At 55.8% G+C, this 22781-nt stretch overlaps 1 protein-coding gene, 2 long non-coding RNA genes and 1 other non-coding gene across 9 annotated transcripts in view, besides 6 other annotated features; 2 read left to right on the top strand and 2 right to left on the bottom strand.

Annotated features, from left to right (window-relative positions):
• The window catches only part of MYO15A (myosin XVA), a 71045-nt gene that overhangs the window by 11283 nt on the left and 36981 nt on the right, over positions 1 to 22781 (bottom strand). For 3 of the 5 annotated variants that reach the window (NM_016239.4, XM_017024715.3, XM_017024714.3), the window contains 33 exons: positions 22411 to 22646; positions 20308 to 20489; positions 19950 to 20022; positions 19566 to 19757; positions 19142 to 19302; positions 18938 to 19032; positions 17975 to 18089; positions 17753 to 17820; positions 17605 to 17682; positions 17228 to 17408; positions 16991 to 17123; positions 16567 to 16672; positions 16334 to 16406; positions 14622 to 14743; positions 14328 to 14387; positions 13763 to 13838; positions 13293 to 13408; positions 13086 to 13204; positions 12182 to 12323; positions 11453 to 11564; positions 11288 to 11362; positions 10618 to 10796; positions 9880 to 9995; positions 9521 to 9593; positions 9171 to 9243; positions 8839 to 8912; positions 8501 to 8583; positions 7071 to 7201; positions 5839 to 5933; positions 5197 to 5274; positions 4680 to 4776; positions 1997 to 2157; positions 795 to 928 (listed from right to left, as the gene is read on the bottom strand). In NM_016239.4, coding sequence (NP_057323.3) covers positions 795 to 928; positions 1997 to 2157; positions 4680 to 4776; positions 5197 to 5274; positions 5839 to 5933; positions 7071 to 7201; positions 8501 to 8583; positions 8839 to 8912; positions 9171 to 9243; positions 9521 to 9593; positions 9880 to 9995; positions 10618 to 10796; positions 11288 to 11362; positions 11453 to 11564; positions 12182 to 12323; positions 13086 to 13204; positions 13293 to 13408; positions 13763 to 13838; positions 14328 to 14387; positions 14622 to 14743; positions 16334 to 16406; positions 16567 to 16672; positions 16991 to 17123; positions 17228 to 17408; positions 17605 to 17682; positions 17753 to 17820; positions 17975 to 18089; positions 18938 to 19032; positions 19142 to 19302; positions 19566 to 19757; positions 19950 to 20022; positions 20308 to 20489; positions 22411 to 22646 — 3809 coding nt within the window. Of the gene's footprint in view, positions 1 to 794; positions 929 to 1996; positions 2158 to 4679; positions 4777 to 5196; positions 5275 to 5838; positions 5934 to 7070; positions 7202 to 8500; positions 8584 to 8838; positions 8913 to 9170; positions 9244 to 9520; positions 9594 to 9879; positions 9996 to 10617; positions 10797 to 11287; positions 11363 to 11452; positions 11565 to 12181; positions 12324 to 13085; positions 13205 to 13292; positions 13409 to 13762; positions 13839 to 14327; positions 14388 to 14621; positions 14744 to 16333; positions 16407 to 16566; positions 16673 to 16990; positions 17124 to 17227; positions 17409 to 17604; positions 17683 to 17752; positions 17821 to 17974; positions 18090 to 18937; positions 19033 to 19141; positions 19303 to 19565; positions 19758 to 19949; positions 20023 to 20307; positions 20490 to 22410; positions 22647 to 22781 lie in introns of those variants that run through there. The other 2 variants (XM_011523918.3, XM_024450781.2) reach the window with 2 other exon arrangements.
• Positions 902 to 1403: an enhancer, noted in NCBI's record as "H3K4me1 hESC enhancer chr17:18070429-18070930 (GRCh37/hg19 assembly coordinates)". NCBI's record gives its function as "activates a minimal SCP1, AML or CMV promoter by ChIP-STARR-seq in primed H9 embryonic stem cells {active_cell/tissue: H9 hESC(primed)}" and the evidence as "EXISTENCE:reporter gene assay evidence [ECO:0000049][PMID:30033119]".
• Positions 7158 to 7297: an enhancer, noted in NCBI's record as "active region_11828". NCBI's record gives its function as "activates an Ori minimal core promoter by ATAC-STARR-seq in GM12878 lymphoblastoid cells {active_cell/tissue: GM12878}" and the evidence as "EXISTENCE:reporter gene assay evidence [ECO:0000049][PMID:35858748]".
• Positions 7418 to 7477: an enhancer, noted in NCBI's record as "active region_11827". NCBI's record gives its function as "activates an Ori minimal core promoter by ATAC-STARR-seq in GM12878 lymphoblastoid cells {active_cell/tissue: GM12878}" and the evidence as "EXISTENCE:reporter gene assay evidence [ECO:0000049][PMID:35858748]".
• LOC105371567 (uncharacterized) lies at positions 13178 to 15317 on the top strand. 2 transcript variants are annotated; one of them, XR_001752809.1, is made up of 5 exons: positions 13178 to 13266; positions 13799 to 13911; positions 14284 to 14378; positions 14634 to 14703; positions 15281 to 15317. It is a non-coding gene; the product is annotated as an uncharacterized LOC105371567 (long non-coding RNA). The 2 variants fall into 2 exon arrangements; XR_001752810.2 differs by lacking the exon at positions 15281 to 15317 and having other exon boundaries at positions 14591 to 14653.
• Positions 14390 to 14439: a silencer, noted in NCBI's record as "silent region_8266". NCBI's record gives its function as "represses an Ori minimal core promoter by ATAC-STARR-seq in GM12878 lymphoblastoid cells {active_cell/tissue: GM12878}" and the evidence as "EXISTENCE:reporter gene assay evidence [ECO:0000049][PMID:35858748]".
• Positions 15049 to 15572: an enhancer, noted in NCBI's record as "H3K27ac-H3K4me1 hESC enhancer chr17:18056260-18056783 (GRCh37/hg19 assembly coordinates)". NCBI's record gives its function as "activates a minimal SCP1, AML or CMV promoter by ChIP-STARR-seq in primed H9 embryonic stem cells {active_cell/tissue: H9 hESC(primed)}" and the evidence as "EXISTENCE:reporter gene assay evidence [ECO:0000049][PMID:30033119]".
• On the top strand, positions 15380 to 18939 carry LOC124903944 (uncharacterized). The gene is made up of 3 exons (XR_007065652.1): positions 15380 to 15452; positions 16612 to 16915; positions 18745 to 18939. It is a non-coding gene; the product is annotated as an uncharacterized LOC124903944 (long non-coding RNA).
• Positions 17810 to 18310: an enhancer, noted in NCBI's record as "H3K4me1 hESC enhancer chr17:18053522-18054022 (GRCh37/hg19 assembly coordinates)". NCBI's record gives its function as "activates a minimal SCP1, AML or CMV promoter by ChIP-STARR-seq in naive H9 embryonic stem cells {active_cell/tissue: H9 hESC(naive)}" and the evidence as "EXISTENCE:reporter gene assay evidence [ECO:0000049][PMID:30033119]".
• On the bottom strand, positions 21867 to 21966 carry LOC124904129 (small nucleolar RNA U13). Its single transcript, XR_007066006.1, has one exon. It is a non-coding gene; the product is annotated as a small nucleolar RNA U13 (small nucleolar RNA).

The raw sequence follows: 22781 nt of genomic DNA, 5'->3' as shown, positions 1-22781 counted from the left end.
CGGCTCACTGACTGCAAGCTCCGCCTCCCGGGTTCACGTCATTCTCCTGCCTCAGCCTCCCGAGTAGCTGGAACTACAGGTGCCTGCCACCATGCCTGGCTAATTTTTTGTAGTTTTAGTGAGACGGAGTTTCACCATGTTAGCCAGGATGGTCTCGATCTCCTGACCTCATGATCCGCTCGCCTTGGCCTCTCAAAGTGCTGGGATTACAGGCATGAGCGACCGCGCCCGGCCACAAGACCCTGTTTCTACAAAAATAAAAAAATTCAGCCTGGTCAACATAGCAAGACCCCGTCTCTATAAAAAGTGGTATATCATTTTTAAAAAAAGAAAGAGAAAATCAATAATTAATTAAATACATAAGTAAATAAAGGCTAACACCCATAATTTACTTGACGACTCCCTGTTGCTGGATATTGAGGTTACTTCTGATCTTTTGCTCTTGTAGCAGCATTGCAGTGAATGCTTTTGTGGCTGAATCTTTCTGCATAGCTACATGTATTTCCTGGACCACAGGGAACATGTGTCCTGAAAGCTTTTTTTATCATTACCTTTGCTCTGAGCTAATAATACCAGCCAGAAGCAACTTGCGAAAGAGAGGCGGGGTCCCAGCTCCTGTGGCTAGTTGGAAGACTTCAGCCCCCAGGCAAGGACAGCCCCTTCCCAGATAGCCCCACTGGTATAAGAGGGGAGCCTGAGGGCCTGGGGACTGCCAGCTCTGAGGAGGGTGGAGGTGGGCTGAGAGGGCAGGGTTGCCTGTCCACCCCAGCTGAGGCAGGAGGGCAGATGCTCACACGCTCGGCAGGTAGAAGTGGTCCTTGGCGCGATGCTGCAGTGAAGCCAGCTTGGACACCTGCTGCAGCAGCTGCTCGCTGGGCCGGCTGGCCGGCACACTGCTGAAGAGTCCCTTCAGGTAGTCAGGCAGGACCTGCAGGGAGCACCTGGGTGAGGGGCTGCCAGGCAGGCACGCGTGCAGGCACTTGGCTGCAGGGGACCTGGGGACATGCATGTTTAATGATTGCAGCCCCATCCTCTTCTGGGGTAGGATGGCCTATTACTTTCCTGGGTTTCGGGGAATGATGGCAGAAGCACATAAGGGTGACGTGGGAGGGCTGTGGCCTTGATGCCCATGAGGGAGTCCCCACAGCAACCTTGTGTAGGATGTGGGCTGGCTGGTGAGAGCAGAGCATCAACACTGCAGTGTGGACATGTATCTATCAGGCCTGCTGTTTCTCAAAACTGAGTGTGCCTGAGCCACGGGAGGGCTTGCCAAAACAGACAGCCAGGCTGGGCTCCTGAGGGTCTGAGGCAGGAGGTCTGAGGCGGGACTTGAGGATTTGCCTCCCGTTTTTGCCAGTCCACAAGCCTCAGGTTGAGTAGCATGGTGCTGGACTGCACAGGGCCATGCTTCAACAGTGACACCACGTGGCCACAAAATCTACGTGACCATATTGTGTACAATTCCTGAAGTTTTGGCACCAGTTCCACAAAAACACACACTTTCTGTCCAAGCACTTCCACACATACTGGCACAGTAGGAGAAACCTAGACTTTGTAAACTCCATGATCCTGACTTAGAGGACTTCTAAGTCTCACAGAATAACACACAGACAAAAATGACAGTACTAGCAAAGCCTGGCTTAGCACTTGGAGCAAAGGACAGGCCCATGTTCAGAGGAGGAAGACATCCGAAGGAAAGGGGAATGCAAAGAAGGCCTAATGGAAGAGGTGCTGTTTGGGGGCAGCTTGCTGGGAAGGACTTAAATAAGTCAGGAAGCACAGATGGAGGGATGGCATGCGCAAAGGCTCTCAAAGGTGGTGAGGGCTGTTTCGATTTCTCCAAAGAGACCACATAGGGGAGCAGAGACATCAGGGCTAGAGACATCCACAGGGCCTGAATCATGAACACTTCAAACACCAAGGCTGTGGAGTCTGATTCACAGGCCCAGGGGAGCCTAGAAGGTCCCAGAGTCCAGAGAAGCCTACGTGTGCTGACCTGGTTGTAGTGCATGGTCACATATAGCTCATTCTCGAACTTGAGTGGCTGATCCCAGAGCACACGCCGGAACCAGAGCATGTAGCCGCCGTCCACCTGCTCCATCTCTGAGGCCACATCCAGGATGTAAGCACGGCGACTGAGTGGGCACACATGCTGGCCTGCAGAGAGCAGGGAGGCAGGGCTGGGTGGGGGCATGTGTGCACACACATGTGTGCACCTGTACAGAGCATGTGTGCAGACCCCAATCTGCTACCCAGGTGAGGTATCACCTCGGACAAGCCACCTGCCTGTTCTGGGACACAGCTTCCTCATTAAAGGAGAGCATGCTTGTCGAATGGGGTGTCCTATGTTTTACTGAAATATTGATGACCACAGATGGTAATAACTCCAATTCAAAGCTTTAAGTAATGCTCCATTTCTCCTGGGGAAAGAGGGGCTCCTGAGGAGTGCCCCGAGTGTGGCCTGCCTGGATCTGGGAAAGTGCCCTGCATTATTCTCAGAGAAGGCCCAGCTCCTTTCCAGAGGAGGCTGGGAACAAGGACAAACACAAGAGGCCTCACACTATGAGACCCAGTGGGTGCCTTTCTGCAGACCTCCTTCAGGAGAGACCCCTTGCCAGGTACCTGGCATAGGTGGGGGTGGGGAGGACTGGGGTCTGAGCCTGGGAGAAGCTCAAGTCTTTCTCTCTTGCACTGACATTTTTGCCACCCATCTCACACCTGCAGTAAAATCTTACTAAAGAGAGGGAGTTTGGTATGATTACATGATTACCACTGTGTGACTGTAAGTCACAGCTTCTGTGGCAGGCTGAATAATGACCCCTCCAAAGATGTCCAGGTCCTAATCCCTAGAACTTATGAATATGTCACTTTCCTGGCAAAAGGCACTCTGCACATGTGATTAAGTTAAGGATGTGGAGATGGAGATGATCCTGGATTATCCAAGCAGGCCCAGTGTCATCAGCACATGGGTCCTCATAAGAGGAAAGCAGAAGGGTCAGAATCAGAGGAGGAGATGTGAGACCAGAAGCAGAGGCTGGCAGGGAGAGAGATATGAGGATTCTACACTGCTGGCTTTGGAGATGGAGGAAAGGGCCATGGGCCAAGGAATGCGGGCAGCCTCTAGAAGCCGGAAAAGGAAAGGAAACAAATTATTCCCTAGAGCTTCCAGAAGGAACCTGGCCCTGATGCCATTTTCATTTTAGAACTTCTGACTTTCAGAATTATAAGGTAATATATTTATGTTTTTTTAAGCCACTAAATTTGTGATAATCTGTTATAGCAACAATAGAAAACTAATACAGCCTCCCTGGGCCTCAGTTTTCCCATCTGTAAATGGAAAAGCTAACAGTCTCCATCCACTTCATAAGGTTGTCGTGGGGATTAAAAGAGTTCACAGAATGAAATGCTTTTTTTTTTTTTTTTTTTGAGATGGAGTTTCGCTCTTGTTGCCCAGGCACGATCTCAGCTCACTGCAACCTCCTGCCTCACCCTCCTGAGTGGCAGGCAAACGTCACCATGCCTGGCTAATTTTGTATTTTTAGTGGAGATGTGGTTTCTCCATGTTGCTCAGGCTGGTCTCGAACTCCCGACCTTAGGTGATCCACCCGCCTCGGCCTCTCAGAGTGCTGGGATTAAAGGTGCAAGCCACCACACCTGGCTTTTTTTTTTTTTTTTTTTTTTTTTTGCAGATAGAGTCTCACTCCATCACCCAGGCTGGAGTACAGTGGCATGATCATGGCTCACTACAACCTCCGCCTCCCAGGTTCAAGTGATTGTTGTGCCTCAGCCTCCTGAGTAGCTGGAATTACAGGTGCACACTACCATGGTTGGCTAATTTTTAGTAGAGATGGGGCTTCGCCATGTTGGCCAGGCTGCCCTGAAACTCCTGGCCTCAAGAGATCCACCCGCCTCGGCCTCCCAAAGTGCTGGGATTACAGGCATGAGCCACCACACCCAGCCTGAAATGCTTTGAATTATACCTGGGGCACAGCATCCGTTCAATAAATATCAGTTATTAGGACCGTTTTGTTACCTGCCATTCTCCCCTAATGTCTTAGCTGGACTTGGGCAGGCAGGGCTGATGGCACATGGCTGAGGACTGAGGCAGCAGTAGGGAGAGCTGGCTGGGGGTTGCTGGAGCTGACCAGCTGGTGACAGGAGGGAAGACCATGATCTAGAGTGGGCAGTCAGCAGATGGAAGGGGCTTTGGGATGCATGACGGTCACCTAGGGTCCCAGGAGCCCTCGAGAGGGGCTAGTGACACCTCGGGAGGGGCTTCTCTGGCCATTATTAAGGCATGAAAGGCAGGAAAGAAGGCTTGCACCTATAGGTTCCTATAGGTTCCATAATATGCGGCGCTATTAATGGAAACCTTTCCAGGATGTAATCTCCTTGAGGGCACGGCCTGTGTCCTCACATTGAGCATGTCCTGAGGGACAAAGGGAGGGATGAGAGAGGGCTCTCATCATAAGGTGAGGCAAACTAAGCAAAGCAGAAAGGGACAGATAAAGGGCTGGGCGTGCTTGGTACACACAGAGATCCTTCCACATGGGGGTCAAGGGGCTTCCTGGAGGAAGTGGCACCTGACTTGGGCCCTAAAATCTGGGTGGAGGGCCCCACATGGCACAAGGCCCGGGGATGGGAATGGGCCCAGCATGCTCAGTCTTCCTGGCACTCACCACGGTTGGTGACAACGAAGATAACATATTCATTGAAGGCCTCAGGGCGTGTCAGAGCCATCTCAGCACATATCTCTTCCACCACGTCCAGGGCCACCTGGGGGTGGGGCGGAAGAGATGAGGCCATGCCAGTTGGGCTTGACCTCTGTCCTTCTGGCCCCACTCAGGCCCCCAGAGGCCATGTGTGGAGTTCCTCAGCCCTCTTCACAAAGGCGCACAATCCTCTGAGGTCTCTGAGAATCAGCCTCAGGCAGGGAAAGAACACAGCTTGTGGTCTGAGACTTAGGTTTAAAATCTGCTTCTGTCCCTTTTTTGCAGGATGACCCTGAGCCAGAGGCTTAACCTCTCTGAGGTGCAGTTTGCTCTTCTGAGAAATAAGTCCTGCCTTGTGGGGCTGTGGGAGAGCCTGGGAGGGCTCAGCATCATTGGGGGCTTACTCCACCCCCATCCTGGAGCCTGGGCTGTCCTTGTCCCTGCCCCTCCAGTACCTGGCTGCAGGAGACATTTCTTCACTTACAGTGCATGTTTTGATTTTGAGATGGCGTTCAAGGCCTCCAGGAAGAAGAAAGAGTTGCCTCTTGGAACTGCGGCCTGCCTGGGGTAGATAGGTGGGAGAGGGATGACAGGTTGGGTCCTAGGATCTGGGACAGCCCTTGTCTCCTGCCCTGGGAGTTCCCAAGCCAAAGGATCCTGGGCTGGCACGTGTAGGAACACTTGAGCACCTGGACCGCGCAGGGCCTGTCTGCAAGCCCCTGAGTGCAATGCACCTGACAGAGAGGTCTCTGGGCAGGGCTTGTGTCTCCCATTCATTTTTTTGTGTGTGTTTGTTTTTGTTTTTTGACATGGAGTCTCGCTCTGTCACCCAGGCTGGAATGCAGTGGCACGATCTTGGCTCACTGCAACCTCTGCCTCCTGGGTTCAAGTAATTCTCCTGCCTTAGCCTCCCGAGTAGCTGGGATTACAGGTGCCTGCCACCATGCCCGGCTAATTTTTGTATTTTTAGTAGAGACGGGGTTTCACCATGTTGGCCAGGCTGGTCTCGAACTCCTGACCTCAGGTGATCTGCCCGCCTCAGCCTCCCAAAGTGCTGGGATTACAGGCATGAGCCACTGCGCCCAGCCTCCCATTCATTTTGAACCCACTCCCACCCTATGCTCACCAACATGGCCCGAAGCTCTATGCTGCTGGGGAGCTCCAGACGACCTCCGAAGCGCAAGGTTTTCTGCAGGTTCTGCTCGCAGGCCTTGGCGATCCCTGCAGAAGCAGGGAGTTCAGGCCTCGCCCAAGGTGGACTGTGGGAGAAAGGGGCTCGCTCCTCTTGCCACCAACCATGAGCCCACTGCATTCTCTCCACAAGCTGTGGGGAAGGCATTTACTCCCCCATTTGACAGTTGAGGAAACAGTTCAGACAGGGACAGTGACTTGCCCAAGGTCAAGAGCTAGAGGTTAAGAGCTGGATTTGAACCCACATCCCATGTGGCTAAGGACCTTTTATCTAGCCCATAGTCCCCTTGGCAACCTATACGCCTGGAAACCGCTGTCACCCTGAGCTGCTGACTGGGGAGCTTGTATCTCACAGGCTCTGTGGCTAGGGTGATGCAGCTCTGCTCATGCCAGCTGGGATACCCTGCCAGCTGCCCTCCCTCACCCAGGCCTCCCAGTGCAGGAGACCCCAGCATCAGTGCTCCATTTCTCTTGAGTCAAGAGTTCTAGGGCACATTCTGCTGCTTTTATGCATCTGGGAGCTCTTCCATAGGGAGCTGGGTCTATTCATCTGTGGGTTGAATGTTTGTTAATTGAATCAGAGAGAAGCATTCAGAGGCAGGAAGGGTAAGGTCTCCTATCTCCTCCACGGCTGCCATGGTGACTACAGGGGCCCCAGCCTCCTTCTTAGGGAGCCCCAGGGGTTGCTATGGAAACAACGCTGAAGAGTGGCCCCCCCTTTCTCCATATTCTAAGGGGGATGATACCAGCTTGGGCCCACCTCTGCCCAGATCCCTCAAGACCCTTGCTGAGTCCCAACAGTCAGAGAGGCAGGGCCGCACCCCAGTACTCTGGATTCTTGCCCACCTCCTTCTCTTCTCCCACGTACCACATATTCCCACTCCTGTCTTTGCTCCTGTCACTCACTCCACCTGGAAATCCCTCCTACCCAGGGCAATACTTCCTCCAAGGAGTCATCCCTGACCACCCCCTCCATTAGATCAGACAAACCACCACGCCAGCCCCTGTGAAACCTTAACAAATGTTTGGGGAGTATATTAATATTGGTAAACATTGCTCAGCACCTGTGAAGAGCGAGGCCCTCTGGGTTTCCCCTCCCACCAGCTGTCCACCCAGTCCCCAAGGGAGAAGCATGCAGCCCTGGGTTCCCACTCATTGACCTCTCACCCTGAAAGGGCAGGCCTGGGGTCCGGCTCACGTCTTGGAGGAAGCGAGTGAGGTGTGGGTGGAGGACCTCAGAGCAGCTGTGGTAGGCGGTCACGATATACAGCAGCCTCCAGCCTCGCTGGCAGCTGTCCCTGCAAGGACACATGGGGGCTACAGCAGAGGTGGCCACAGCACTAGAGTGTGCCAAGAGCCTCCTGGGATTGAGCTGAGACAGATTCCAACTCTCAGGCAGCTCCTGTCCCCTGAGGATGCCCCTCCCTGCGCAGTGATATGCAAAAGGCATATTCTGCTTGGGAAGTCAGGATTGGGGATAGGGACAGAAGGGGATGGGGCCCCAGACATCTTCCCCAGGTAGGGGAAGCACTGCGACTCTTTCCTCTCCTATTCTTCTCTTCTCTGCCTCACAACAGGTAGGGGATCTCTCTAGGGAGGCTTCTGGGAAAAGGGGAAGCTGCTGAGACTGTGTAGAGGTCATGCCAGGTAAGGCCCAGGGCTGGGAGGAGCAGGAGGACAAGCTGAGTGGTTCTAAAAATCCTGAGGAGATGGAGAGCAAGTGAGGAGGTAGTACAGATGGAGACAGGAGGGTGGACCTGATGGTAACAAGAGCATGCACACATTGGGCACGTACTGTGTGCTGGCCCTGCATGAGTGGAACACAGTAATTCATCTTCACATGGTCCTGGGTGTGAGGGTTTCATTTGTAGGGATATCTGGTGTCTGGGAACAACACTTGGGCTTCCTTTGGGAAACCACCCACCCCGCTCTGGATCCCTGTGGTTTGGAGATGGGCATGGAAGTCAGGTTTGGTCAATGTGAACACCGCAGCCCCTGGCCACAGTGATTGGCCCAGGGATAGGCATAGTTGGTTCAGGGTTGAGCATGTGACCAACTCAGGCCTGTAAGGCTGGATTTAAGAATTTCTACAGCAAATATTGGGTCAGTCTTGCTTTCTCTGGGATTGCTGAGCTGTTGCCCCAGACCTGCCACCTTGCTACTCTGTGCGAGAGGCTGTTTGGGAATGATCAACACAGAGGAAAGCAGAGCCAGAAGATGGAGAAAGCCTGCTTCCTGATGACACCTGGATCCAGCTATGCCTGAGGCCACATACTCACTGACTTTTCACTTCTCTGAATCAACAAGTTCCCTTTTGGCTAAACCAGATTGAGTTGGGTTTCTGTCACTTGCAACTAAGAATCTGGACTTACACATTATCACTGTCATTTTACAGATGAGGGCACTAAAGTTCAGAGAGCAGAAATGGTGTGTTCCAGACCAAGTAATTCCAAAAAACGTGCTCTATTGAGTGAGGATGAGGGTGAGAGGAAGATAATCCAGGAGGGGTCAGGCCTGAGGAGGTGGGAGGCTGAACTGGTCCCTCCTGGAGCATGGACACAGTGAGGGGATGGTGGGGTAAAGTCCAGTTCACTCACTGCTTGGAGCTGGTATTGTCTGTGATCTGCTTCACAACTTGGCAGTAACATTCATCCCGCATGACCTCATGGTCCCCGCACAGCTGAAGGGGGGCAGGGAGGTTACACACCAAAGACATGTGAGGGGCTATGTCATATACCAGGTACATAAGAACAGGGTGGGCACCTGAAGACAGGCCTGGTGTCCCTTTCCCAGCCCCCTCCCCACCAGCATGATGCATTCCTCTTTGGACCATGGGAGAGGTTTCCCACCCTAATGTCCTGTGACTCATTGATAGATGGGGAAACTGAACCACAGAGCAGGAAAGGGGGCATCTGGCAAAGTTGGCTGGACTGACCTTCAGGAGGTTACAAAGCACGTCCAGGTCACTCTGGCCCTTCAGTGGGGCATCCCCCATGAACCTCATTACAGCTGTAGGAAAGACCTATCCCACTCAGACCCACCAAACCCCCAGTTGCCCACCCACCCCAGGAAGCCCCAGGGCTGAGCCCCTCCCTGGGAGCCTTGGCCACAGGCAGCTGGGAGCTTCTATTCTCTTAAATGTGTTCCATGTCTGAGCTGGCGGGAGGGAAAGAATCTGAAGATCAGGGAGGAGTGGCAACCAGTAGAGATCACACAGTGCTGGATCCCACCTAGCCCAGAGCCCTGGCTGCAGTCCCACTCCCACACCTAGGAACATGTCGGTGGCCATCTTGCTGAGGCTGCTGTCGCTGAGTTCGATGAGGGATTCCTGGAGGGGAGTCTGTGGGGGAAGAGGGCTGTGTCATGATGGAGGAGGGACACGTCAGAACAGAAAGGGGACACATTGTGTTCCAAGGCCATATGATAACAGGAGGGTCCACGTCACAAAAGGGGAGCCAGGCCCAACACTGGGGACAGAGGCTGTCCTTGGGAGGGAATCAGGGTGCTGAGAATCAGAGGGTCTCACTGAGAACAAGTTTGTTGGCCCCAGGGGCCTGGGAGGGGGCCCCTGCATCACCATTTTACAGATGGGGAAACTGAGGTCCGGGACTGGACACCTTGGTGAAGCAAAGCATGTCCTCCAAGGTTCTGGACTCCCGAGGCTCCTTGGATTTCAGCCTGAGGCCATCCCTGCAGTGGGAGGTGGGTGCTACTGACCTGTCCTGCCCAAGCCTTGGCTACATCCTTTTCCACATGGGAAAGAACCCCCAGGGAGGGGGTTCTTGACCCACCACTGATCAGTCTACCGGTCACGAAGACCCCCAGAGGCAGGCACTGAAATGAGCCTCACACCTGGGTGGTCTCTCATCTCTCCCACCAGAAGTGGGGCCTCCGAGACTGACAGCCTGCAGTTTGGATGGCAGCAAGAAGCCCAGCACCCTCCCACTGTGGGAAGAGGGGTGGGGCCGCCACTCACTGGGGTCTCCTCTGAGGGTCTCGGAAATACTTCTGGGCAAACTCGAGCATTGTGTAGGGTGGGAGCGCCAGGGCGTCCTCCCCATGGTCAGCAGAGCGGGCCCTGACTGGGGGACCCTGCAGAAGAGGCGGAGCTAGGAAGGCCCAGTCCGGCCACACCACGCCTAGCCCTTCGGTCAAAACTGACAACGCAACCCCTAGCTGACTGGACCCAGATTCTCAAGCCGCCCACCCACCCATCCCTGTGGACCCACCCGCATCCCGTTGTTCTTACCCCTTCAGCCCGCCCACGCCTTTTACTTGCTGTGCTAACCTGGCTCCCTGCCCCACTTGGCCACGCCCTTGCCCGGGGTTGACTTCCGCAACTGCCACGTCACAGCTGACCCCGCCCCTCGCTAGCTCCACAAGCCGCCCACTCACCTGGCACCGCCCCAAACCCAGTAGACTTCACCAACTGGCGGGCCCCGGCTGGTCTGACCCCATTGTCCTGATTACAACCAGCTGATCTTCATCCTTCCCTACCCCATTTGGCCACACCTCCAACCATCTCTGGTCCCATCTCCCGGGTCTCACCTGCGGCTCACTCTACCTGGTTCACCCTCACACTAGTCCAAGATCAGCCACGCCCCAAGAGCCTGGCCAGGCCCTTGGCCCACCTTATCCCCACTCGCCTCACCCCTTCTGCAGCGGCCCCTTCCCCCTGGTCTACCCCGCCCCACCCCACCCACACTGGTCTCACCTCTCTCCTGCGGCCCACCTCCTGTGCAGCGGCTGCAGAGGCCACAGCAGCGGCCACGGCGGCTGCTCGGCCGCGGCCTGGCTCCGTTGGCAGCTGCAGGAAGTCGGGGGCAGCAGCGGGCTGCACCAGCTCCGAAGGGAAGCGGCCCACGCGCCCGTGGATGGTCCCGAACCTCCAGCCTAGGGGTGGGTAAAAGGTCTGAGGCAAACAGGAGGGTCTTGTCTTGTGACTAAGGGGGTCCTTTAGGGAGATTTGGGAACATTCTTAACCCTTCTCTGGAACTCTATGAGGCAGGCCAGGCCATCAAACCCATTTTACAGATGAGGAAACAGGCTCAGGGAAAGAAAGGGATTTTCTCAGGGCCACAGGACCATAAAGGGGAAGTGAAGCAAAAAGGCAAAGCAGGGTTTGTGGACTCTCAGGTCATGTGGAGACATAAAGAGAGATTCAGGCCACAAACATGGAAATGCCCACGGAGACCCCTCAGGCAAAGCAGAGGGCTGGGCTGTCTGGCCACCAACAGATACTGACAGGCCACGGCTGGACCTTAGGAGACCTGACCAGCCCAGGCCACTTTCGGGCACCAAGAAACCCTCACTGTGCATCTGCACCACGAGTGGGTGAAACTAGGATGCGCCCCGTATGGGGTTCCAGGTTCTGGGGCACACACCAAAGTCGGGGCCTCTACGTCGCAGCTCCTCCAGGTACACCACCTTCCTGCGAACCACGCAGCCAGCACTGTAGCCTATGGGCCAGGCTCGGGTCAGCATCTGCCAGGGAGGCCCCCTTGGCCAGCCTCCCCCTCCTGCCCCCAGCCCACCCCAGTGGCACTGACCCACTCGAGGTGGCTCTAGGGGCTGCAGGTGTATGATGTCACCCTTGTGGAAAGCCAGCAGCGCAGGGTCCTCAGGCAGGAAGTTCCTCACAGCGACCACGTAGTCAGAGTCCTGGGTCAGCCAGAGGCAGGGTGAGGGCAACAGCCCTATCACCCCACTCCCAGAGGCCTAGGGCCACCCCTGCTCCTCACATCCTTCCTGACTCATCAGGGAAGGGAGCCTTCATTAGGTGAGAAGAGGGAAGGGCATTCTGGGTGGAAGAAAGGGCTGGAGGGTGAGTCTGAGGGACACAGATGGACTTTAGGGCACACACATAGGCCTTCCCCACTCAATCCCTCACAGACTTTCCTGCTGAAGTCTTCCTCGGGCCTGGGGCACAGAGATGACCTGCCCTAGGCCTGGGGGCTGCCAGTCAGGAGTGGGCAGAGGGGATGGAAAGAGATTGTGATGCAGTGGGCGGGCCATGCAGCCAAGGCAGGAGGGTAAGGAGTACAATTGCTGCAGACCTCAGAGGAGGTGCTGTGCCACCCGGCAGGGGGCACTGGCAAAGGTTTTCTGAAGGAGCAGGCAAAAGGGAGAAAGGGTATTCCAAGTGGAAGGCACAGCCAGTGCAAAGGCCTTAAGGTAGACAGAAATCTATGGACACAGTCATATTTCCCTGGAACAGGGAGATCCCTGTTGCTGGCCCTCAGCCTGGGTGGAGGGAAGATCTGTGAGAAGATCCTGACCTTCTTCAGCTCCAAGATGAAGTCATCTACCAGGGTCTTGACCTGGTGCGCTCGGGCTGAGAAGAGGATGACCTTCTCACTGGCCAGGTTGAACTCCAGCATGTTCTGGGAGGGCATGGTCACAAACAGGATATCTGCAAAGCTGGAGGATGGGCCGGTGGCATGACTCCCCTGCCAGAGGGATGCCCTCCTTCCACCTATTGTGCTGCTTCTGATCCTGTCCTGCCCCATTTGAAGCCCAGCCCCACCTTGGCCCCATTGTGCCAGCTCCCACAGAACCCTAAGCTTCCTGCTTCCCCTCTCTGACCCAGGCTGTGGCTTCAGCTCAGTTCCTACCACCCTTTGGGCTGACACTCCGGCCCCTCTCCACCCTTTGTCCCTTGGTCCAAGCTCTAAATCTAGATTTGCACCTACCCAAATCTCTCTTTCACCCATTGACCAAATTCTCTCCATCTTTCAAAGCATGCAGGTTTTACCTAACCAGTTAGCAAGGTTCCATTCCCATCCTCGTGTTAAAAAGGACAAAAGGGACTTCTAGCAGGGGAGGGAGTCTGAGTACTCAGTAAGGTGTCACTGCTGGCAGTGGTTCCCTCCCCAGCTGCATCAGGATTTGGTCATTTCCAGCACAGCTGCCCCTCTGCACAGTGCTGCTGCTGTGCAGGTTGGGGGGAGGGCAGGGGAGTGGGTGCCTAGCTCAATCCCTTCCTGGCTGTGTGACCTGAGACAAACAACTTCTCTCTCTGAGCCTCAGTTTCCCCAGCTCTAAAATGGGTTTGCTTCAATGGCTTGGCACAGAGCCTGGCGCATCATGGGTACTTGGTAAGTGGCTGTGGAGGGGAAGGAAATGCCGATGCCAGTCTGTATCCCAGTCTCCAGCCAGCCCCACTTCACCCCTGCTGGTCACCTGTATGCACGCAGGACCCGCAGCTGCCCGCCGGCCTCCTGGCCACCCTTGACCATCCTCAGGAGTTTGATGCCCACGTGGGACACAGCTAGGAGCTGCACACCAGTGCCCACGCTGCCCTGGGGCAGAGATGAAGGGCGTGTGAGGATCCTCTTGTCTCATCCCTGAATCCTCTGGACAGGTAGGGGGCAAGTGAGGGGCTCGCACCGTGGCGGGGAAGATGCGGGAGAAGTAGACCTCCCAGGTGTCTCGTGCAGTGCTGACCACGGCCCGCTTCACGCTTTCCGTTACCAGAGGCTTCTGTGTGTCCAGCTGGTTCTGGGCTATGGGAGGCCAGGTCTGGTCAGGACCCTCTCCCCACTCCCCTGGCAACCCCCATCTCGGGGATGTCAGGGAGGGAGGTGGCTGATACCCAGCAAGAAGGTATCTGACCAGTGTCTATACTAGAAAACTGAAACCCAGAAATGGATGAGATGGCCAGGACACACAGTGTGTCAGGCATTGCCAACCCCAAACATGCAGCCCGGCCATGCGAGAGGCCAGAGAAGCAGAGCAAGGAGGCACATGTCTGGGAGATGGTGGGCCTGGGCTTGTCAGCCTCAGTCTCCCTCTGGGACAGGGCTGGCTGTGCCTCTGACTGGTTGCCCCATCAGTACCCCTCCTCTCCCCCGAGATACCAAACAAGGCCTTCATCCTGAGCCTCTCATCCTCAGAGATGCGAAGGCAGGCCTCGGAGAGCGTGTCGTGCAGGATCTGTGGGAACAGGCTGTGATGCAGGCAGCACATGGGACTCCCCCAGCTGGGACCCAGGCTGGACTATACTAGGGTGAGTGGCAATGTGGGAGGGGTCCCATTTTGCAGCAGTGGGGTCATCTGTAAGCTGGGTCATCTGTGTAAATCAGATCCCACTTACAGGGCCCTCTCCTTTCTCCTCAGCCCCACAATCCAGGCCACCCTTCCTAGGCCACCGTTTCCTACTCTATATAGGGGGGTTTACAGGGTTTACATTTGATCTCTGGGCCATGTCTAGCTCAGACAGACTATGGCTCTGATTGGGTTGAACTGTGGGCTCACTGACCCTGCCCATGGGAGGGGGAGATTCAATAAAACAGCTGCCCATCCTCACCCCTGTCAAGGACCCCAAATCCCAACATGCAGAGGCAGGCTTTGCAGCTAGCTCATCTTTGCGTCCACACAGCCCTGCTGAGTTCACTGAGGCAGAAAGGGGAGACAGGACCTCACCTGCCGGAACAGGAGGTCAAGCTGCACAGGATGGCTGTAGCTGTCCTTGGGGTAAAACACCTGCAGGGGCGGGGCTTCAGTGGGTACTGTCCGACTGCCCCCTGGCCTTGCTTCACACCCGGCCCCGCCCCCTAAATGCAGTTCCGCCCCGGCTGTAACCCCACCCCTGGTTTCAGCCCGGCCTTTTTCTGTCCTCCTGGGCTCCCTCCCCAAGTCCTAGACCCTCCTCTGCTCGCTTCAGCCCCTCCCCTGCCCCGCTTCAGCCCCTCCCCTGGCTACGGCTGTGCTCGGCACCTCTTTGCGCAGGAAGATCTTCCAGGGGGCGTCCTGATAGCCGTAGAAGTTGGGATTGATGAGGCGGTGCAGCCGCGTCTGCGTGAGTTCCTCAGGGGGCTCCAGCGATCGCGAGGGCAGAGCTGGAGAGCGCGGGGATCAGGGAGTCAGGAGAAGGCACCTCGTTTTTTTATTTAATTAATATATATATATATTTTTGAGACGGAGTTTCGCTGTTGTCCCCCAGGCTAGAGTGCAGTGGCGCAATCTCGGCCCACTGCAAGCTCCGCCTCCTGGGTTCAAGCGATTCTCCTGCCTCAGCCTCCTGAGTAGCTGGGATTACAGGCGCCCGCCACGACGCCTGGCTAATTTTTTGTATGTTTAGTAGAGATGGGGTTTCGCCATGTTGGGCCGGCTAGTCTCAAATTCCTGACCTCAGGTGGTCCGCCCGCCTCGGCCTCCCAAAGTGCTGGGATTACAGGCATGAGCTACTGCGCCCGGCCACAGGCACCTCCTAGGATGAAATGGGAGAGGCAGGGCGGGTGGAGGAGGGGACCCAGGAGCAGTCCACGGAAACAGCTGCTCACAAGGGTCACATATGACCCAGCCTTTCATTCAACACATAAAAACACCTATTGGATGTGCCCACCACCACGCCCAGCTAATTTTTGTGTTTTTAGCAGAGAAGGGGTTTCACCATATTGGCCAGGATGGTCTTGATCTCTTGACCTTGTGATCCGCCCGCCTCGGACTCCCAAAGTGCTGGGATTACAGGCGTGAGCCACTACACCCAGCCAAAACACCTATTGTATACAGGCCTGGGCTAAAGGCTGAGATGGCCCCGCAAATAAGGTAAACAATGCCCCTGCCCTGGAGTTTAGTGCCCATGGCAGGTGTGGGTGGCACAGATCATTCAGAAACAAAGCTCTCACTGCCCGAGGCTGGGGTGGCAGTAAAGCAGGGTGGTTTAGGATGGATCCTGGAGAGCTGGTCTGTGAGGTCCTTCACTCCTAGCAATCTAGGCAGACCTTGCCGAGGTGACAGAGGTGACATTTGAGCTGTGACATGAATGGTGAGAAGGAGCCAGGCATGCAAAGGTCTTGGGGAAGAGCATTCTAGGCACAGGGAACATGCAAGGCAGGAGTGGGCTTGGAGTGTTCCGAGAACAGAGAGGAACAGAATGTGCCAAGGGGAGGAAGAGAGGAGATGAGGCTGGGGAGGTGGGCACATCATGTCGCGTCTCATAGGCCACGGTGAGGAGTTTGGAGCTTATTGTAGGAGCCATCAGAGGGTTTTTTATCAGGGGCAGGATGGGAACTGCTTTATAGCTGTTAAGATCACTGCAGCTGCTGAGAGACAAAGGGTGTAGAGGTTAGGGCTTCAACTGTGATGCCAGGAGGCCTGAGCTGATATCCCTGGTCTGACACTTTTGAGCTGTGTGACCTTAGGCAAGCCAGTTAACCTATCTGTGCCTCCATTTCCCCATCTGCAACATGTAGGAACAACAGTGCTACCTTGAAGGGTTCTGGTAGGATTACATGAGGCCAGGATGGGCCTGGCCTGAGATCTGTGCTACTTAAGTATTGACATTATAATTACACCAATGTGCTCACAAGATGTACACAGGGGCTCAGGGACATAGACACACACACTCCACCGACACACTCACCTGTGCCCACAGACTTCCTCATATACTTGGACACCCTCCCCTCCCTCCCTCCTGGCCCTCTCACCTGAAGTGGGTGCCATGGATGGCCTTGGTGCACTGGTCACCGGCTTCACCAGGGCCACGGCCTCTCTGGACACCTGTCCCACCCCAAAGAGACTGCTCAGGGGGCAACAGGCAGGCCCTGTGGAGGGGCAGTGGCAGGGCCACAGCTTATAGGGGTAGCTGGTTTCTGAGGATCCCTGAGGCCCCTCTTTGTCTTCTGTTCCACCTGGGCTCAGCCCCACCTTCCCCCCTCACCTGGGTGCCAGGTGCAGCTGCCAGGTGGGTCATCTGCCCTTTCAGGATCATCAGGGCCTCCTCATGAGGGTCTGGCCGCTTCATGAACACTTTCCCGCCATCCTTCCTGTGGGCATTGGAGTACTGTGGTGGGTTGACACTGAGTCTCCCTTTCCCATCACATAGTTTGACAGTAGGAAACTTCCTCCTCCTCCACCACCCCCTATCATTATAAATGAGAATCCAGGGAGAAGCAGAGACTGGCCTGAAGTCCTACAGCACAACCTAGACAACAGCAGGGCCTCATCTGGACTCATCAGTATAAAGAAACTCCCTCCCTAACAGGAGCTGGGCAGGGCGCTTCAACCCAGTAAGCTGGTGGGCCATGATGGACACTCAGGTACAGTGAGGGGGCTGGCGGGCTGGGGGCAGGGGCAGTGCTGACCTGAGGGCCTCAGGCCGGCCTCCCCGGAACGGCTGCTGGTACTGCCTGACAATATTCTTGATCTGCTGTGTGGGCTGTGGGAAGTGCTCAGAGTTGAGCGTAGAGTACCGGACCAGCTCTGGGGAGGGTGAAGCTGTGGGCAAGGGGCGCGGTGGGAACAGGGTGAGGCCACAAGGGGCACAACCACACCACCAGGCCTGTCCTGGGAAGCCCCAGAGGCTGGGATAGGGCACTCACTGGTTTCTGGAGAAGCCTGATCCTGAGCTAGAACAGGGGCAGCCACAGGCTTGATGGGGAGCCTTGGAGCCTTGGCCAGAGGGGCTGGGGCCAAGGGCTTTGGAGTGGCACGCAGGAGCACGGGTTTGGCAGGGGGACCGGTGCCTACAGACGTCGGCTGTGCCTCTGGTGCTGGGGGTTTCTGTGGAGAACAGGACGTGAGGGTGGGCTGCCTGGGATATACCAGGCTGCTCTCTGGGACTCCAGATCTCTGTCAGAGATGGGTTGTGGAGCTCCTGGGCTCAAAGAGGCACAATAGTGCCCTGGAGCAGCACAGCATTCCTCTTTACAGCTTGTGTCTCCAAGCAACCCCTGCACCCTGGGCAGGCCAGGCTCACCTCTGCGGGCAAGGATCTCAGGGCAGCACTCAGGGGCTGCTGCTGGAGTGCCGTGGCCTGCAGGGTCATCTCCCGGGCCTGGGGAGAGGTGGCAGTGGTGACCAGGCAGGTCCATTCTCCACCCCCCAGCAGTCCCTCCCTCACTCACCAGCAGCACGGCCTGTTTGTGGATGAAGGCTTGCTGCAGAGCCAATGTGGAGGCATCCAGGCCTGGGACTGAGGGGAGGGGGCAGAAGGCACAGATGGCACCGGAGATGCCCTCCTCCCTGTCCTCTCAGCCCCCATCATGCTGTGGCTGCCTCCATTCTAGCACACCAGCAAGTGGCTCTGGCCCTGCCCAACCCTGGAACCACCCTGGGGAGGCACTGACTTGGCTTTGGCTCTGGGGGTCTCCTGGGGGTGTCTTCAGTACCACTACTGCTGCCTCCACCGGGCTGGCCTCCCCCTTTCATGCGGTAGGCAATGGCTGTTGGCTTCTCCAGGTCCTGGGGGCAGTGGGTGGCTCAAGTGACCATCTCATTATTGTACTCCCAAGGTTCCATGGCAACAGGCACCTGACACTGGCCTCTTCCCCACCCTCTCGTGGGAGGGGGCAGCCTCCCACTGGCTCAGTGTCTGCTGTATGCTCAGCCTTTACCCCTATGGCATCCCAATCAGTCGTATCCATAACCATATGAGCTCCCAACCCATCCCCTCTTCCCCAGAGGAGTAAACTGAGGCTCAAGGAGGGGTTGTGCCCTGCTCAGGGCTGCATATCATGCCAGGGGCAGTGGGGGTGGGGTGGGTTCTGGAGTTTCCAGAGTGAGTAAGGGTACCTGAGGGGTCTCGTGAGATCTGGGGCTAGAAGACCCGGGGACCAAGGTCATTCAACTCCATCCAGATAGAGATATTTTAGTGGCCCCGGGGGGCTGGCTGCCACCAAAGGTGCACTTCTTCCCTTTCTTTTTTTTTTTTTTTTTTTTTGAGACAGGGTCTTGTTGTTGCCCAGGCTGGAGCACAGTGGTGCAATCACAGCTCACTGCAGCCTCAGACTCCTGGGCTCAAGTGATCCTCCCATCTCAGCCTCCTAAGTAGTTGGGACTACAGAGGCATGCCACCACACCTTGCTAGAGGTGCACTTCTAACTGTGGGTCCTTCCAGGATCAGCCAAGAGCATCTCTAGCTGTGAAGAGACCCTCATCCTTTGTCCAGCCTCCAGCAGACATCCAGATGGGACACACCACCCCATGACCCTGGCTGTGAGAAGCTCTCAGGTCACCCTGTACAAGTGTGTGACTTGGGTGTACATGCTGTGCCTGCTGTCTGCAAATGACCCACCCCACACCATCCCTACCGCATCCCCGTAGGACAGCACAGGGTCAAAGAGGCTATCCAGGTAGCAGTCCAGCCCCTTGTGGGGCACAGCAGGCTCTCCAAGACTGTCTGACTCTGGAGGGGAAGGCACAAAAATGTCAAGTTCTTTTTTCTTGATGATTTCCACCCCACACAGCCTCTAAGGCTCCCTCCCCACCAGAGACAGCAGCCATTGTTGGTTGACCTTGGTGGGTTGCTGTCCCTCTTTGGGCCTCAGTCTCCCCATTTGTACCGTCCTGATTGTGGCTGCTGTACCCATCAGAGTCAAGTACTTTGGGCATGTGCTCCTGGGGCTGGGGTCTAGTGGACATGTCCTCATCCGAGTCCCAGCTGTTCCCAAACACCCTGTGGAGAAAAGGAACATGGAGCTACTGACCCCCAGAGAGATCCCAGAATCCCCCAAATTTTCTTCTGCACCCTGGTATTCAGTGGCTTTCTCCATTTAAAAGCAGGATCCTTTGGTGAACTCTACCTCCTTAAGAACCTGAAGTCTAAGTTCAGGGCTCAGCCTGTCCCAGCAGCTGGGAGGGGCAGGCCTTCTGCCTGGGAGTGGCCGGCCTTCTGCCTGGGAGTGGCCATCTGTGAGGGGGTCCCCCATAGCTACCTACACTTTGGGGCCTCCCCTGCTGGCTGCAGGCCCCTCTGTGCCCACAATGAAGTAGGACTTCTGTCGAGGGAAGTCCCTGAGCAGCTCCAGGTCCGACACCAGGTCTAACACGTAGTCGTGGCCAGCCAGCTCTGCCCACTGGACACCATTCTTCATGGCCACGGTCCAGCCGCGCCAGCCATCTGCCAGCCCCCTGGTGATGGCATGCACAGGAATGGAAATGAGGGACAGAGTCATCAGGCACTACCTGGGGAGATCCTGGGTTATAAGCCAGACCCTAAACATGAACAGAATGGACCCTATGGGACCCTCTGGGGGATCTGACCTCCCCCCACAACATTCCAGGTACATAAGAGTGTGCTGGGAGGGCATCCTAGGAGCCAACCTGTGCCTCAGAATGTCTCCAGCCACCTCTTCCCCCGTACTCCAGGAGTGCACCGGGCAGGAGAACTGGTCACCTGGGGCGCAGCAGGTGCCGGGCTCAGGTTGGAGCATCTGAGTCCAGTTTGGCTGTGCCTCCCTGCTTGCTTCTTCCTTTCAGGCTTCCTGTATCTGTAGCCTCACTTCCCTGGCTCCCCTTTCCTGGGCCAGGTCCCACCCCCACACACAGACTTTCACGCAGAGCCACATCTGAGAAGGCCCCTCCCCAGCTCCAGAACATCCAGTGGCTTCTGCCATCCCCGGGGCTCACTGGGCCCTGCTGACTCCCACTGCCCTCACTGAGGTGGGGGAAGGCAGCTTACCATTGAAGCAGCCCACGTCCAGCGCCATGCTGGCCTTCTCATAGGTCGCTGTCCACTCGAGCTGGGTCGGGGGTAAGGTGCGGGCAGCCCCCGAGCCCTGCTGTTGGGCCCGGCCCATGGCCTGCATGAGGCGGTGCTGACACACAGCCTGGAAGCCATTCCGCCCATAATCAGACACAAACCTGATGGGTAGGAGTTGGAGCCAGGATCAAGAAGGATCTGAAGCTAGCTTGGGGCTGAGGGCTGCGGGGTGGGGGTAGGAAATTCTGAGGCTAGTCTGAGAAAGGCCCAGGCTACTCCAGAGCTCCAAGGTGAGGCTAAAAAGGCTCCAGGCTGGTTCACAAGGGTCCCAGGCTAGAGTCCAGTGCTCTGGGACTGCACTTAAGGGGTCCCAGGCTAGCCTACAAAAGATCTCAGGGTAGTTTAGAGTCCCACGGCTAAACTGAAAGGGTCCCAGGCTAGTCCAGAAGTATCTCAGGCCAGCCCAGAGGTCCAAGGATAGGCCAAAGAGGTACCAGCTTGTTGGAACAAAATGTCATTGACAGGCTGGGGTCTGCAGCTGGGTGTGGGCAACAACCAGAACTCTGTCTCCATTCTCTCACAGGGCAACCTTGGATGATTATCTGCCCTCTCTGAGCCTCTCCTCCAAGTTTTCACCTATAAAAGGGACAGCTGAGGGTTCAACTCAACCCAGGCCCAATGAGCCCAATCCCTACCAGCCATTCCTCATGCTTCCCTCACCCCCACATCCTACATCTCCTGCAGCTAAGCCTGGCCAAGAGCAGCACTGGTGCAGGCCCACAGTAGCTAGAGAGGGAACCTAGCACCATGCCCTCAGGAAAGCCCCAGGCAGGCAGACCAGCAACGGCCTTACCCTGCTGTCAGCTGCCACAGAGTCACAAGACTGGCCAGGTGATGTCCATTTGCTGCATGCTGGCCTAAGCAAGATTCTGTATACTCTAACTCACAGCCACCCTGTTAGGTGGGTTCTGTTGCCATCCCCAAATTATAGGGAAGAAACAGGTTCAGAGAGGGACAGTGACTTGTCTCAGGCCACACAGCAGGTAAGTATCAGAGCTGAGATTCACACCCAGGGCCTGCCTGAGCGATTTCCTTGCAAATCATCCTTCTCACCCAGCAGGGTGACATCATTGTGATGGTTATACCCACATAGCACCTACCATGTGCCCCTCTCTGTTCTAAGCACTTTACGTGTGTTTATATATTTTATCCACACAAGAGCCTATGAAGTAGGTATTATCATTATGCCATTTTTTTTTAACATCAGACAGGGTCTTGCTCTGTTGCCCAGGCTGAAGTGTAAGTGGCATGATCTTGGCTCACTGCATCCTCAACCTCCTGGGTTCAAGCAATGCTCTTGCCTCAACCTCTTGAGTAGCTGGGACTACATGCGTGTGCCACTATGCCTAGCTAATTTTTAAATTTTTTGCAGAGACAAGGTCTCAATACATTGTCCAGGCTGGTCTTCAACTCCTGGGCTCAAGCGATCCTCCCATCTTGGCCTCCCAAAGTGCTGGGATTACAGGCCTGAGCCACTGCGTCTGGTCTTGTGCTGATGTTTTAGCAAGGTTTGAGGGTGACACATCTCATGCCTGAGCATGAAAACTCAATCATCACACTTATAAACTATAAAAGAATAACCCCCATTTGATATGTAAGGAAACTAAAGCCCAGAGAGGTTAAGTAACTTACCCAAGGTCACACAGCTCATATATGGCTGAGCTGGGATTTGAACCCTGATTGTCTGAGTCCCGTATCCATGCTCCTAACCACCCCATTAAACTCTCATGCTGTGAGAGGTCAATGCTCTTTTCCAAATTCTCCACATGCTGGTCTTGTCCCACTCTGAGTTCTGGAAGTCCCTCATCCAGTCTGACCTAACTCCTAGCCCCTGCAGTGAAGGCCTGCCCTCCTTTCTTGCTCTGAGCCCAGTAGAAATGCAGAGCAGCCCTGGCCAGCCTCCATGCCTGAGCTTCCCAGCATAGAGATCTGACTCCTGGCCTGACCTTTAAGACCCTGCCTTGGGCTCCACTGCTGGTGCCACCGTCCCTCGTGTCCCAGCCCCTATCCAGTCCCACTCACTTGAGAAGGTACTTGTTGAAGCACGGGGAAGGTGCAAAGCCACTGAGGCAGGCGGCCAGCAGCAGCCAGCCCCGCTCAGCATTGTGGGCATTGTGATTGTGCCACACCTGATTGGCCAGCTGTGCCAGGATCTCATCCCGCAGCTCAGGCACCGCCAGCCCCTTCTGCACGATGTAGTTCCCGAAGATGTTCTCCCGGGCACCATGCAGGTGGGGGTCGCCCATGAAGCGCAGGATCTGGGCCACGAACAGAGTCTCCTGGGCATCTCAGAAAGTTGTTCCTTCCAGTCCCCACCCCACAACATGCATCCCTCTCATGTCCCTCCCATGTGTGCCCCTGCCCATATAAATGTCCCTTATATTACAATATAA

This window comes from Homo sapiens, chromosome 17, assembly GCF_000001405.40.
Source record: "Homo sapiens chromosome 17, GRCh38.p14 Primary Assembly".
In the NCBI taxonomy this organism is placed as follows: Eukaryota; Metazoa; Chordata; class Mammalia; order Primates; family Hominidae; genus Homo; species Homo sapiens.
Note: the sequence above shows the minus strand (reverse complement) of the source record. Positions and strands in the feature narration are given on the sequence as shown.